Source organism: Homo sapiens, chromosome 15 (genome assembly GCF_000001405.40).
Source record: "Homo sapiens chromosome 15, GRCh38.p14 Primary Assembly".
Classification (NCBI taxonomy): Eukaryota; Metazoa; Chordata; class Mammalia; order Primates; family Hominidae; genus Homo; species Homo sapiens.
Genome location: NC_000015.10, coordinates 72686207 through 72702119, shown reverse-complemented (window position 1 = coordinate 72702119; position 15913 = coordinate 72686207). Strand labels below are relative to the sequence as shown.

The window sequence follows — 15913 nt, the reverse complement described above, 5'->3', positions numbered from 1 at the left end:
AATCCCAGCACTTTGGGAGGCCGAGGCAGGCAGATCACGAGGTCAAGAGATTGAGACCATCCTGGCCAACATGGTGAAACCCCATCTCTATTAAAAATACAAAAAAAAAAAAAAATTAGCTGGGCCTGGTGGCACACACCTGTAGTCCCAGCTACTTGGGAGGCTGAGGCAGGAGAATTGCTTGAATCCGGGAGGCAAAGGTTGTGGTGAGCGGAAATCGCACCACTGCACTCCAGCCTGGCGACAGAGCAAGACTCCGTCTCAAAAAAATAATAATGATTTTAAAGCTTTTCTATTATTTTTTTTAAAACCAGTGTTTTTCATATATCAAAGTAGGAAGACTTTCAAATGATTTTTAAAAATAACTAGTTGGTTTTCTTAAAAATACATACTTACAGTAAAACAAAATTCAAAGGGCACATAGGATACTAAACAAAAGACCCATTCCATTCCTATCCCTTACCAGAGGTGAAGCATTTCTTGAGTATTTTCAAGGAATTTCTATGCACATATAAGCATATGAGCAAGTGTGTGTGTGTGCGTTTGTACACCTTTATTTTACACATGGGGATTATATTGACCGCATTTTAAAAATTGCTTGCTAGTATTCACTGAGCCTAAATATATCCTTCCTGGTGACCCTGAAAATCCTACTCCTAAGTATGTATGTGTACCAAAAAACATGTACAAGACTCTTCATGGTGGCATTATTCATAATACATCACAATAAAAATATCCCAAATGTTCATCAAGTATAAAATGAATAGACTTAGGTAGAGCCCCACAATGGAATATATATAACAAGGAAGAAAACAACCAACCACTACTACATGCAACAACATAAATGAATCTCACAAACATAATTCTGAGCAACGAAGTTAGATATTAAAAAGTACACACTGCATGATTCCATTTACATTAAATTCAAAAGCAGGCAAAACTGATGTAGAAGATAGAAGTTAAATACAAGTTACTACCTTTGGGAGGGGTGGTTAATGACTGGTAGGGAATAAGGAGGCGGCCTGGAGGGCACTGATAATATTCTATACCTTAATCTAGATGGTGATTACATGGATATGTTTACTTTGTAAAAATTCACTGCACAGTACAATTATGATTTATGTATGTACTTTTCTGTATATATATTTCAATAGAAAGATATCAAAAATTACTGATTGAGCCAAATTAGACATTTTCTAAAACCAAAAAATTAATTTCTGCAATATTAATGCAGAAAAGGGAGAGGACACACAACTCAGTCTGGGGTAAGGATCAAGATTTCCTAGACAAGACAGAGAAGGCATTAATAACAAAAGAAAAATAATAGTAAATTGGCCTTCATCAAAATTAAAACTTTTGATCATCAAAAGATACCTTAATAAAATGAAAGTAGTAAAACACAGGCTGGGGGGAAATACTTACCACATATATAACAGACAAAGGACGTACATTCAGAATATATTAAGAAGTCTCACAAATCAATAATAAGGAAAAAAGAAATTTAAAAATAGGCAAAAAACTTGAGCAGACACTACACAAAAGATATGACCAATAAGTATATGAAAAGGTGTTCAACATCACTAGTCATTAGTGTAATGCAAATTAAAATCACAATAAAACACAATATACCCACCAGCAAGTCTAATATGAAAAAGACTGATAGTAACAAATGTTGGCAAGAATGTAGCCAAACAGAATCCTCACACGTTGCTGGCGGTCGGGTAAAACTGTACAACCACTTTGGAAAATACTTCGGCAGTTTATTATAAAGTTAAAACAAACAGTTCACATATGACCAAGCAATTCCACTCCCTAGGCACTTATTCAAGTGAAAACTTGCACACACATGCACACACAAAAAAAACCAGTAAATAAATGTTCAGGCCGGGTGCAGTGGCTCATGCCTGTAATCCCAGCACTATGGGAGGCTGAGGCGGGCGGATCATGAGGTAAGGAATTCAAGACCAGCCTGGCTAATATGGTGAAATCCCGTCTCTACTAAAAATAGAAAAATTAGCCGGGCATGGTGGCACACACCTATAGTCCCAGCTACTCAGGAGGCTGAAGCTGAAGAATCGATTGAACCCAGGAGGCGGAGGTTACAGTGAGCTGAGATCGCACCACTGCACTCCAGCCTGGGCAATAAAGCGAGACTCCATCTCTAAATAAATAAATGTTCATAGAAACTTTCACAGTACTCAAAAACTGGAAACATTGCAAATACTCATTAACAGGAGAATGGACAAACGGTGGTATATTCATGCAACTGAATACTAAACAGCATTTTTTAAATAAAAGAACTACTGATACATATAACAACACGGATGAATCTCCAAAACAACATGTTGTATGAAAGCTGCCAAAAGCTAAATAGTAGATACTGTATGGCTCCCTTTGTGTGAAGTTCAAGCACAACTTATTATAGGAAAGTTCAAAATCAATTTATACAGGCAGAAATCAGAATGGTGGTTGCATCTGGCGAAGTGAAGCAGAAGACTTACTGGAAAAAGGCATGAGGAAACTTTCTAAGTGATAAAAATGTTTAATTTGATCTGATGATTACAGGAATATAAATATGTACATGAGTATACATATCTGTCAAAATTCAAGAGTGTGTATTTCAGATTTAAAGATTTACTAGCATTGAAATTAAAAATAATAGGGAAAAATTAGATATATACTACCTTCCATTTAAATTAGAAGTTAACATTGTTCCTCAAAAATTAAACAGAATTGGGCCAAGCACGGTGGCTCACACCTGTAATCCCAGAACTTTGGGAGGCTTTGGGGTGGATCATGAAGTCAGGAGCTCGATACCAGTCTGGCCAACATAGTGAAACCCCGTTTCTACTAAAAAGACAAAAAATTAGCCAGGCATGGTGGTGGGCACCTGTAATACCAGCTACACGGGAAGCTGAGGCAAGAGAATCACTTGAACCCGGGAGGCAGAGGTTGCAGTGGAAAAAAAAAAAAATGCTTAGCTCATCCATTTAATCAGTGGAGCGGTGGAGCAAAAGCCAGATTACAATAGACAAATAGACTCAGAGGTGAGGATACCAAGACAAGTAAGATAAACTATTCTTTCAGAAAGCTAATCAATGAAAGTCATTCACTATCACAGTAGAAATAGTGAGATTTGGTAACTACTTATCAAAGACTGTGACAGTGGTTTCATGTAGACTTTAGGGTGAATTAGGTAACAACTAAATTACCTTGTAACTCTATAATTCTGTATACACAAGAACCAAAATTAGCAAAAGGAAAAGATTAATGAAGTGAAGAGCATGTACAGCATCTACAAAATCAAAATCACGTCTGAGAACCAAATATATACACAGTAATTAGTCTGTAGAATAAATTATTATATACAGTACAGGAAATGACATATTTCTAGAATATCTACAAAATTCCTAGTTTCTACAACTTTTAAATTCTTTAAGAATTACTGACATATAAAGACTCTAAGGAAAACAACCCAAATGCCCATCAACAGACAGATAAACAAAATGTGATATATACATACACTAGAATATTATTCAGCCTTAAAAAGGAATGAAATTCTGACACATGCTACAACATGAATGAATCTTGAAAATGCTGAGTGGAATAAGCCAGGCAGAAAAGGGCAAATATTGTATGATTCACCTTACATGAAAAACCTAGAATAGTCAAATTCATAGATACAGAAAATAGAATGGAGATTACCAGGATCTGGGGAGGCAAGGGGATGTGGAGATTTATTGTTTAATGGGTACAGTGTTTCTGTTTGGAATGATGAAACACTTCTAGAAATGGACAGTGGTGATGGCTGCACAACTTTGTAAATGTACTTAATGCCACTGACTTACACACTTAAAAATGGTAAATTTTATATATATTTTACAATAATAAATTATTCTATTAAACAATTAGTCTAAAACCAGATATCAAGCTGAGATCAGGTTTTTTACATAGTGAGTATGTTGTCTCAGGTTGTGGACAAAACTCATCCTCAGCTATGGCCACCCCAAAATGGGTAAAGTTTTCAATGAAGACTCCTTTAAGGAAGAAAATAGACTCAAGCAGTAAATCAGTTCGCTCACCTCAATGATGGGTAAGATCTTCAACTGAAAGCCAGAAGAAAGTCACCTAAGGTTACATCATGGGGCAAAAGGAAGAGGACTTCAGTAGCCTCATGTAGCATATTATTTTCTCAGAACCACCAAGTAGTTCTGATCAATAATTTCATTGCCTGTTCTTGAAAAAGTCCTGATATATTTGGACAAAAATACCAAACAGAAATCTGTTTATCCCTTCCACAGTTGGCAGTCATCACCCTCAAAACTAAAGAGTCAAACTTTGAGAGAATATGGACCTCTCAAGCTGAGGAGGAAAGAGTGAGGGAGAGGCACAACATCCATTCTCAGTCAAAATGCCTCCAATTGCTACTTGTTCAAATAACGTCTCTCAGCTTGCTAATCCAACTTCTGTGTGAATTCTTTATGCACTTACCAACTTTCTGCCTTCTATTTCCAAGTATTACACTACTTAACCAGAGCAGTGGTTCTCAAGTGGGAACAATTTTGCCCCAGAAGGAATAACTGGCAACATCTGGAGACACTTTTGGTTGTTACAATTAAGTGCTACTGTCATCTACCAGGTAGAAGCCAGGGATGTTGTTAACCATCCTACAATATACAGGACAACTCCAACAAAGATTTATCTTGCTCAAAATATCATTCATGCCAAAGCTGAAAAAACCTGAACTAGAGGTATAAAAAAAGTCTAAGGATTTCACAGTAAAATGTGACAGCTTTTTATTCAAAGTACTACTTTTTTAATTTGTTAAAGTCCCGTTAATACTTAAGGATGATAGTTCTTCTCTTTTCTTAATACCTCCCTATATTGGGCTGGATGCAGTGGCTCATGCCTGTAATCCCAGTACTTTGGGGGGCCAAAGCAGGTGGATCACTTGAGGTCAGGAGTTCAAGACCAGCCTGGCCAACGTGGTGAAACCCCATCTGTACTAAAAATAAAAAAATTAGCCAGGCATGGTGGTTCATGCCGATAATCCCAGCTACTTGGGAGGCTGAGACAGCAGAATCACTTGAACCCAGGAGGTGGAGGTTGCAGTGAGCTGAGACTGCACCACTGCACTCCAGCCTGGGTGACAGAGCGAGCCTCCGCCTCAAAAACAAACCAACAAACAAACATTATATGAGGTTTAAAAGCCACTGAAAAATTTACATAACCCAGGTGCAATAGCTCATGCCTGTAATGCCAGTACTTCAGGAGGCCGAAGATGGAGTATCACTTGAAGCCAGGAGTTCAAAACCAGCCTGGGCAACAGAGCCAGACCCCCATTTCTACAAAAAAAATACATAAAAATTAGCCAGGCATGGCGGCATGCACCTGTAGACCCAGCTACTGGGGAAAACCATTTGAACCCAGGAGTTTCAGGTTGCAGTGAGCTATAATCACACCACTGCACTCTAGCTTGGGTGACAGAGCGAGACCCTCTCTCTCAAAATAATAATAATGTATGATTCCATTTATTTGGCATTCCAAGAAAGGCAAAACTAGGAAGAAAGAAACAGATTAATGGCTGCCCGCAATTGGGAATGGAAGAAGTGGTTTACTACAAAGTAAAGGTGACTTTTGGGGGAGTAATTAAACTTTTATAACTTGATTATGGTGCTACTAGTGGTTACATGGCTAGTTTCATTTGTCGAAACTCAGAATTTGTACTAAAAAAAGGGAATTTTACTCTACGAAAATTATATGTTGATACCATTCAAAGACTGGCCAAAGCAAAACTAAAATAGCTAAATAAATAACTAAAACTAAAATATTATCAGGCAAAGTAGACTTCAAACAAGGAATATTATCAGAAATTGAAGAGGAATATTATATAAAGACAAACGGGTCAATTTACCAAGAAATCAGACAATCCTAAATGTATATGCATCCAACAACAGATCTTCAAAATACACAAATCAAAAATTGATAGAACTGAAAGTAGAAACAAATCCACAATTACATTTGCACACTTCAACACTCTTCTATCACCCTTCCAATCAGTAACTACATCAGTAAGAATATGAATATCTGTAATTGTAAGTATATACAGAACACTATCAACCAACTTGACCTAATTGACATTTACAGAATGCTACATCCTACAAGAGCAGAATACACATTATTTCCAAGTGTACATGGGACATGCACCAACACAGGCCACATTGTGGGCCATAAAACAAACCATATAAAGAATGTTCTCTACCCACAATAGAATTAAACTAGAAACCAACAAAGCAAAAAGATACCTGGAACTTCACAAAGTGGTTTTTCCAGAAGCAGAAAATTAGTACACACTTACATAATAATCAAACCCCATTTAAATAATTTCCAGGTCAAACCAACCTCCTAATATCTAATAACTCTATTAAATAAAAGCTAGATGTGACAGAACATTTAGACTATTACTTCTTTTCCCAACACTCATTTTGAAATAATATAGAATAGATAAAAGAATCAACAAGAGAGAGAAATCTGGCCAGGCGTGGCGGCTCACGCCTGTAATCCCAACACTTTGGGAGGCCAAGGTGGGCAGATCACCTGAGGTCAGGAGTTCGAGACCAGCCTGGCAAACACAGTGAAACCTCATCTCTACTAAAACACAAAAGTTAGCCAGGTGTGGTGGCGTGCACCTGTAATCCCAGCTACTCGGGAGGCTGAGGCAGGAGAATTGCTTGAGCCCCAGAGGCAAAGGTTGCAGTGAGCCAAGATTGTGCTACTGCACTCCAGCCTGGGTGACAGTGAGACTCTGCCTCCAAAAAAAAAAATAAATAAATAAATAAAAGAGAAATCTGTCTGTGCAAACATACACATACCATGAAACTGCATACAGACCTTTTTTCTGCCGGGGTTTTTGAGACTCAGTAGATACAGGAAATTGAGTTCTCTGAAATGAAATAAGTAGTCTATATTGAAGCACCACAATATAAACTTGCTAACTTAAAGAAGCATCCAAATAACAAGAATAATCAGTAGCTCACCAATTATGCAATTAATCCATTAAATCCATATTGTGATAGAGTTACTTTAAATATGGTTTAAAAAACAAATGTCAAGTCATACTTTTGCTATCCAAACTATTAACAATGTATAACACATATTTATAATATTTACAATGTGCATTTTTAATGTATAATTATAGTATATAGTAAAATGTGCATAAGAAATATACTCAGTTCTTAAACACCTCATATGAGTATTATACTTGATGCCATACTTCTCAGCAGCCAAACCAAAAAAGTGATCGCTGTTTGATAAAAGGAAGCTTATGAGATCATCTACACAGAAACTGTCTAGCACTCAATTCTAAAAGGGAGATAGTTATTTTCCACTATAACCTCATAGAAAACCATCAAATGAATTTTTCTTTTCTCAACTTCCTATGACATACCACAATATAAGCAAAAATAATGGCTCAAATTTTTCCAGATGTAATGAGAAACACCAATCCTTAGTTTCTGGATACTCAACAAATCCTGACCAGGTTAAATGAAAATAAATACATACTTAGATACATCATAGCGAACTGCACCAGAGACAAGAAGCAGCTCTTAAAAGCAGCCAAACAAGAAAACATATCACCAGATTACCAACAAAGAAAGGACAGTTATTTGAGAGGCCAAGGCGAGAGGATCACTTGAGGTCAGGAGTTCAAGACCAGCCTGGACAACATGGTGAAACCCCGTCTCTACTAAATATACAAAAATTAGCTCGGCATGGTGGCACGTGCCTATAGTCCCAGCTACTTGGGAGGCTGAGGCAGGAGAATGGCTTGAACTTGGGAAGCAGAGGTTGCAATGAGCCAAGATCGTACCATCGCCCCCCGGCCTGGGCAACAGAGCAAGACTACGTCTCAAAAAAAAAAAAAAAGGAAAGAAAGGCCAGACGCCGTGCCTCATGCCTGTAATTGCAGCACTTTGGGAGGCCAAGGCAGGTGGATCACCTGAGGTTAGGAGTTCAACACCAGCCTGGCCAACATGGTGAAGCCCCATCTCTACTAAAAATACAAAAATTAGCTGGGTGTGGTGGCAGGCACCTGTAATCCCAGCTACTTGGGAGGCTGAGGCAGGAAAATCGCTTGAACCCAGAAGGCAGAGGTTGCAGTGGGCCAAGATCACACCACTGCACTCCAGCTTGGGCGATAAGAGCAAAACTCCATTTCAAAAAAAAAAGAAGAAGAAAAAGAAAAACAAAAAAGACTGACAGCTGGCTCTTCAACAATTAAAAATGGAAGACAATATCACAATAAGACATCATAAGAATAATTACTCCAGTGTCAGGTACTAAGTAAAATGAATGTTAATTTAGACCAGAGGTCAGCAAACTATGGCCCACAGGTCAAATCCATCCTGTTTATTTGGTCTACAAGCTACGAATGATTTTTACATTTTTATATGGTTAAAAAAATTCAAAAAATAATAATTTTTAACACATGAAAATTGAGTCAAATTTCAGTGTCTATAAACAAAATTTGTGAGAACATACCCACACTCATGTTTACATAATGTCTATGGTTGCTTTTGTCCTACAACAGCATTGCTGAGTAGTTGTCAGAGAGACTCTATGGCCCACAAAGCCCACAATATTTACTATCTGGCCCTTTACAAAAAAAGGTTTGCTAACACCTGATCTAGATTCTCTCACCCATCAAAACTAATTTTCAACAACAAAGGCAAATTTTTAAAACTTTCAGAATTTGAGAGTTTTTAGATTCTCACCAAATAAACTTTTAATGAAAATATATTAGGAAAAAGAAAAATAATCCCAGAACAAAGGAGTGGAATAAGCAAAGGAATTGGTAAAATAAGCAAGTATTCTAAGCATCTACTGACTGAATAAAACAAACAAAAAGCATAATTTGTGGTGTTTAATTAAAATACATTAAGAACTACAAAACTAAACAACAATGGCATACATTTGCAGATGGCAATAGATGGTAGTAAAGCATTTGATGGTCCCTGTAGTAGCAACATTTAGGCCTGGACTTACAGTAAACATGTATTTTTTAATTTCTTTGGTACTCATTAAAGGAAGGCAAAGTATAACTTCCAAGGCATGAAATAAGAGGAGCAGAAAGGGAGGGGTAACAGATGGAAATTCAGTTTTTTTAAAAAAAAGAAAGGAGGTAGAAAAAAATGCAATTCTCCAGTTTAAGACAGATAGATCAGCCAGGTGTGGTGGCTCACACCTATAATCCCAGCACTTTGGGAGGCTGAGGCAGGAGGATCACACGAGCCTAGAAATTTGAGAACAGCTTGGGCAAAACAGCGAGACTCTGCCTCTATAAAAAAAACTTTAGAAATTAGCCAGGCATAGTGGCAGGTGCCCTTAGTCCTAGCTACTCAGAAGGCTGAGGTGGGAGGATCTCTTAAGCCCAGGAAGCGGAGTTGCAGCAAGCCATGATTGGACCACTGCACTCCAGCCTGAGGAACAGGCTCAAAACAAACAAACAGCCAGGTGTGGTGGCTCACACCTCTAATCCCAGCACTTCGGTAGGCTGAGGCAGGCCGATTGCTTGAGTTCAGGAGTTTAAGACCAGCCTGGGTAACATGACGAAACCCCGCCTCTACAGAATATACAAAAATTAGCCAAGTGTGGCCTGCGCCTGTGGTCTCAGCTACTCGGGAGGCTGAGGTGGAAGGATCACTTGAGCCCAGGAGGCAGAGGTTGCAGTGAGCCAAGATCACGCCACTGCACTCCAGCCTGGGTGACAGAGCAAGACTCTGTCTCAAAAAAAAAAAAAAAAAAAAAAAAAAAAATTGCAATGTAAATTATCACATTAAGACATAATTTCATATCCACCATGACTGGTGGCAGAAGCATAAATTGTTACAACCACCATATAGTTTCCTGTAAGTAATAAAGTTACTCCATTACCTAGCAATCTATTTCTAGGTATACCTTAGAGAAACTCTTAGATATTGCATCAGAAGACCTACATAATAATGCTCAGGGCTAGGACTAAAGTGAGGCATGTGAAGAACCTAGGGTATAAACCTTAAGAAGGTACTTACTCTTACTCCATAAAATGTGAACCCTAAGCACCTCACTTACCTTTCCTTAGTCTTGGCCATATTTATAGCAGCTTTTTTTTTTTTTTTTTTTGAGACGAAGTCTCGCTCTGCCAAGCTGAAGTGCAGTGGCACAATCTCGGCTCACTGCAACCTCCGCCTCCTGGGTTCAAGTGATTCTCCCGCCTCAGCCTCCCGAGTAGCAGGGACTACAGGCGCGCAGCACCGCATCCTGCTAATTTTTGTATTTTTAGTAGAGACGGAGTTGCACCATGTTGGCCAGGATGATCTCGATCTCTTGACCTCATGATCCGCAGCCTCGGCCTCCCAAAGTGCTAGGATTACAGGCGTAAGCCACTGCACCCAGCAGCAGCATTGTTTTTAATAACTAAAAACCAGAAATAATCCCGATCTCCATCTAGTGGAATGGATAAGTTAATTGACATACTTTACTACAATAAGATACTATACAGTGTTGAAATAATGAATAAACTGAAGGTTAATAACAAATTTTAAAAACTAATATATTAAGGATATATATAAACATATATGGTAAAACTATAAAAAGTACAAAATATTAATATAAAATTGAAGAAACACTACATCTGATGTGGAGGAAGGAAAATGCAGTAGGAGAGAGGCATTTAGGAGGTTTCAAAGTTATTAATAACCCATTTCCTAACCTGGGCAGTAGGAACACAAGTTTCCATTATATTATCCTTTAAAGCACACATACGACATTTTAAGCACTCTTTTACAGGTAGGATATATTTCACAACAACAAAAATTAATCCTCAAAATAAAAGAGAATACTTATGTGAGGCAGGCCAATTGCTTGAGTTCAGGAGTTTAAGACCAGCCTGGGCAACATGGCAAAACCCCGCCTCTACAAAATATACAAAAATTAGCCAAGCGTGGCCTGCACCTGTGGTCCCAGCTACTCGGGAGGTTGAGGTGGAAGGATCACTTGAGCCCAAATGAGGGGCTCATTTGGTTAATGATCTTGATTTAAAAATTCACAAAAATTTATAAAGACATTTCACCAAAGAGATACGGGTGGAAAATAAACATATAAAAAATCTTCAATATCATTATTCATGAAGGAAATACAAATTAAAACCACCATACACCATCACTACCCATCCACTACAACAGCTAAATAAAAACAAACTGACAAACCAAGTGTTGACAGGGATGTGGAAAAATCACAACCCTCATGCATTGCTCATGGAAATGTTAACTCGTATATAGCCTGCAGAAGTTAGGCAGATTTGTTTCTGTTTTTTTAAACAAATACTTAAACAATATAACCCAGCAATTCCATTGACACAGGAACCCTTCTGGAGTGATGGACATGTTTTAAAAGCAGCCTCTGATGACAGCTGTGCAACTATATAAATTTACTAAAACTGATCAAACTTTGTACTTAAATTGAGTAAATTTTATGGTACGTGTATTATACCTCAACAAAACTGTTTTTTAAATGTTAACTCAATTTTTTAAAATCTAACTAGAATTTCTTAACTTTGGGGAATATACTACTAAAGAATGTTAAAGACTCAAAAAGCACCTTCAAAGGTCAGCAACCCTTCTTTCTGCACAAAGCAGAATTATTTTTTTGATGAGTCTTTTACTCAAGACTTTCCAGAACATTTTGAGATGGAAAGGATTCTATTAGCCCACTCAATCTCATTCATAGGATTTATATAGAACAAATTATTTTATTCTGTTATTTCTTCATTTTTATATAGTTTTATGATCATTTATTCATCCAACAAATATTCATGGAGCACCTGATACATAGGCACTATATCTGAGCCAGATCAACTAGTGTACTAATTTCTGTTTTCTGCTCTTATCAGTTTAATCCTTCAATTTACAGGATGACATATTTATCCAAATACATCAAATAATGGGAATCAGGGCATTATAAAAAAAATTTATAGGCTGGGTACAGTGGCTCGCCTGTAATCCCAGCACTTTGGGAGGCTGAGTCGGGCGGATCACAAGGTCAGGAGATTGAAACCATCCTGGCTAACACGGTGAAACCCCGTCTCTACTAAAAATACAAAAAATTAGCTGGGCGTGGTGGCAGGCGCCTGTAGTCCCAGCTACTCCGGAGGCTCAGGCTGGAGAATGGCGTGAACCCGGGAGGCGGAGGTTGCAGTGAGCCGAGATCGCGCCACTGCGCTCCAGCCTGGGCGACAGAGCAAGACTCCGTCTCAAAATAAATAAATAAATAAATAAATAAATAAATAAATAAATAAATAAAAAGATTTATAAGCACAAATCATGAAAGCCAGAGTTAGTTGCTCATTCATTTTTTGTTTTTTTCAGACAAAGTCTCACTCTGCCCCTGCTGGAGTCCAGTGGCATGATCATGGCTCACTGGAGCCTCAACTTCCCCCAGGCTCAGATGATCCTCCCCAGTAGCTGGGAAGACAGGCGCGTGCCACCACGTCTGGCTAATTTTTGTGTTTTTTGTAGAAATGGGGCTCCAACATGTTGCCCAGACTGGTCTCAAACCTCTGGACTCAAGTTATCCTCTCACCTCAGTTTCCACAAGTCCTGGCATTACAGGCATGAGCCACCAAGTACAGCCTGTTTGCTCATTTTTTAAGAATTCTAAACTATACTGAAAATACAAATATTAGTCCTCAGTTTTCCTTCTAAGGAACTGGTAGCAATCCGTAAGTAATTTTGGTAGCATACTAGAATTTCTGCGTCCCACACTGGGCTAGTTTTACTCAGTTTTGATGGGGTGTCTTCTGGCCTCAAGGCCTTGACTGTAGCCTTCTTAGATTTTTAGCTATACATTTCTTCAAAAATTCTGTGAGTTTTGAGTCTTTTCCTTTTCTCTCCTCCATATCCATATATCCTTATCTACGGATCTATATGTTTTCCTTTGTGTTATGAAATTAAGATCACATAATATACCCCACTTCACATCTACCTTTTATTTAAATGTACACCATGGAAGTCCCTCCAAGTCAATTAGTCGTAACATTCTCTTTTTTTTTTTTTCTTTCTGAGTTTAGGAATGGAGGTTTAATAGGCAGAAGAAAGAAAGGAGAACAGCTTTCTCTAGTGAGAGAGAGGGGCTTCTGAGAGGAAAAGCAATTAGTTGTAACATTCTTTTTAATGACTGCATAATATTCCACAGTATGGAAATATCTGAAGTCATCAATTACCCTATTAATGGGCATTTAATTTGCTTCCAGCGTTTTGCCACTACGGATAGTACTACAACGAATGCCCTAGTACTACACGCTCATGTTTAACACTTTTTTCTGTGGGACACAGGTCTAGGAGTAGGATTACTGGGTTCTTTTAATTGTATTAAAAAATAAGGCAGGGGGCCATGGCTCACGCCTGTAATCCCAACACTTTGGGAGACCGAGGCGTGCAGATCACAAGGTCAGGAGTTCAAGACCAGCCTGGCCAACGTGGTGAAACCCCATCTCCACAAAAATAAGCCAGGCATGGTGGTGAGGGCCTGTAACCCCAGCTACTCGGGAGGCTGAGGCAGAAAAATCACTTGAACCCGGGAGGCAGAGGTTCCACTGAGCTGAGATCACGCCACTGCACTCCAGACAGGGCGACAAAGTGAGACTCCGTCTCAAAAAAAAAAAAAAAAAAAAGATAAAATACCACTTCCTAAAAGGACAGAAATTCACATTTCCATGCATTGGTAACTTGAAAAGATGAAAATTACTATAAACGTAACACTACTAGCAATAAATTTGACAACAATGAAAACAGTTAACTTCAGGCTTAATTGCTAAGTCATATCGAAACAAAAGCTATTCTCTTTAAAACAGTATTAGACATTCAAATGTACATGACAATTCTGCCGTCACAGACTCAAGTTCATATTCTATTACACAAACACTTGTGATGAGCACTAGAGGATAAGCTATATTTGTAGCAATGTTATGTTACCCATTATCTTTTACACTTTAAGATTACTTAGAAGTATTTTCTTTTTTTTTTTTTTTTTTTTTTTGAGACGGAGTCTTGCTCTGTCACCCAGGCTGGAGTGGAAGTATTTTCTTTCCTATGTTTTTAATATTTAAAACCCAGTAACATTAACCATGCTATTTACTTTTTTTTTTTTTCTGAGACGGAGTTTTGCTCTGGATGCCCAGGCTGCAGTGAAATGGCACGATCTCGGCTCACTGCAACCTCTGCCTCCTGGGTTCTAAGCGATTCTCCTGCCTCAGCCTCCCTAGTAGCTGGGATTACCAGCGCCCGCCACCACGTCCAGCTAATTTTTTGTATTTTTTTAGTAGGGACAGGGTTTCACTACGTTGGCCAGGCTGGTCTCGAACTCCTGACCTCAGGCGATCCACCCACCTCAGCCTCCCAAGGTGCTAGGATTACAGGCGTGAGCCACTGAGCCTGGCCTATTTAATTATTTTAAAATCTGTTTTTTCTTTCTTTTTTTTTGAGAAGGAGTCTGTCTCTGTCGCTCATGCTGGAGTGCAATGGCATGATCTCGGCTCACTGCAACCTCCGCCTCCGGGGTTCAAGCGATTCTCCTGCCTCAGCCTTCCAGGTACCTGGGATTACAGGCGAGCGCCACGATGCCCCGCTAATTTTTGTATTTTTAGTAGAGACGGGGTTTCACCATGTTGGCCAGGATGGTCTCAAACTCATGACCTCAAGTGATCCACCCGTCTCGGCCTCCCAAAGTGCTGGGATTACAGGCGTGATGCACCGCGTCCGGCCTAGCTATTTTAAATTTCTTAGCTTAATAAAAATGTTTCGGCCGGGCGTGGTGGCAGGCGCCTGTATTCTCAGCTAATCCGGAGGCTGAGGCAGGAGAATTGCTGGAACCTGGGAGGCGGAGGTTGCAGTGAGCCGAGATCGCGCCATTGCACTCCAGCCCGGGCCGACAACAGCGACACTCCGTCTCAAAAAAAAAAGTTTCTGTCTTCAGAGTTTTCTAATTAGACTAGAATAATATGACTACTCTGCAAATGAGAGTAGAAAACAAACAAAAGGCCCTCTAACAATAACACTAACCTTGCTGCTTAGCCAAAACTAAGTTGTAAAACAGCCAAAGGCTGCTATTTGTACTGTTTTCCAGGGCGTTTTTCGAAAGACAATAAATTCCGAATACCTAAAATCATTCTAACAAATGGACAGAACAGGCTTTCAAACCCAACACTAAAGCAAGGTAAACAAAGCTTCACACTTGGCACTTTACCGAAATTAGATCCAATTATAGATATATGCCTCAAAAAATAGCGACTAGGTCATCCTGAATTCATCGGGTTCCTCTATATTAGCAGTTCTGTGGAGTGAACGCCCAACTCAGCCTTCAGATGAATTCCAAAACCGTACTTTCCTAAACTTAATCACCACAGAAAAAACACAGTCCCGCTCCACTGGCAGAAGGCAGTGACGCTGCAAGCTTCCAGGCATGTTAAATTCCCAATTCACGGGATTAACAGGAACTGTCTACACAAGTGCTAGTCATTACCTTCCAAACCCCCGAGACAGAAAAAGATGGCACTACGGTAAGAGCCATTACTGGTGAAAAGTCTCCCTTCTCCGTCCAGCGCACCCCAAGAGGGACTACAGTCCTAGAACAGGACCTGTGCTGCTAAGTATCCAGACTTGCCCCAGGCGACCAGTTCCCGGGACAGTAAAAAGGGGACCGTGTCGCCCCGCCCACCCTGAGACGCTCGGCACCCAGCTCCGCCTCTCTCCAGGAACCGCTGCATGGGACAAAAGCCACCCGCCAGCTTGCCTTGCCCTGCGGCCGGGCAACTAAAGAGAATCTCGGCGCTCACCGTCGCGACTCTCTCCTCAGCCATTTTAGCTCAGCCCACCGCTGC

General features: G+C 39.4%; 1 protein-coding gene across 10 annotated transcripts in view; it reads right to left on the bottom strand.

The window, feature by feature from the left end:
* BBS4 (Bardet-Biedl syndrome 4) overlaps positions 1-15913 on the bottom strand; it is a 52267-nt gene extending 36354 nt beyond the window's left edge. For 4 of the 10 annotated variants that reach the window (NM_001252678.2, XM_047432912.1, XM_017022454.2 and 1 more), the window contains exon 1: positions 15869-15913. Coding sequence is in view for 3 of the 10 variants with exons in the window: in XM_017022450.2 (XP_016877939.1) it covers positions 6892-6943; positions 15556-15603 (100 nt within the window). In the remaining 7 variants the exon portion in view is untranslated. Of the gene's footprint in view, positions 1-6891; positions 6944-15555 lie in introns of all 10 variants that reach the window. The other 6 variants (NR_045566.2, XM_047432911.1, XM_017022450.2 and 3 more) reach the window with 2 other exon arrangements.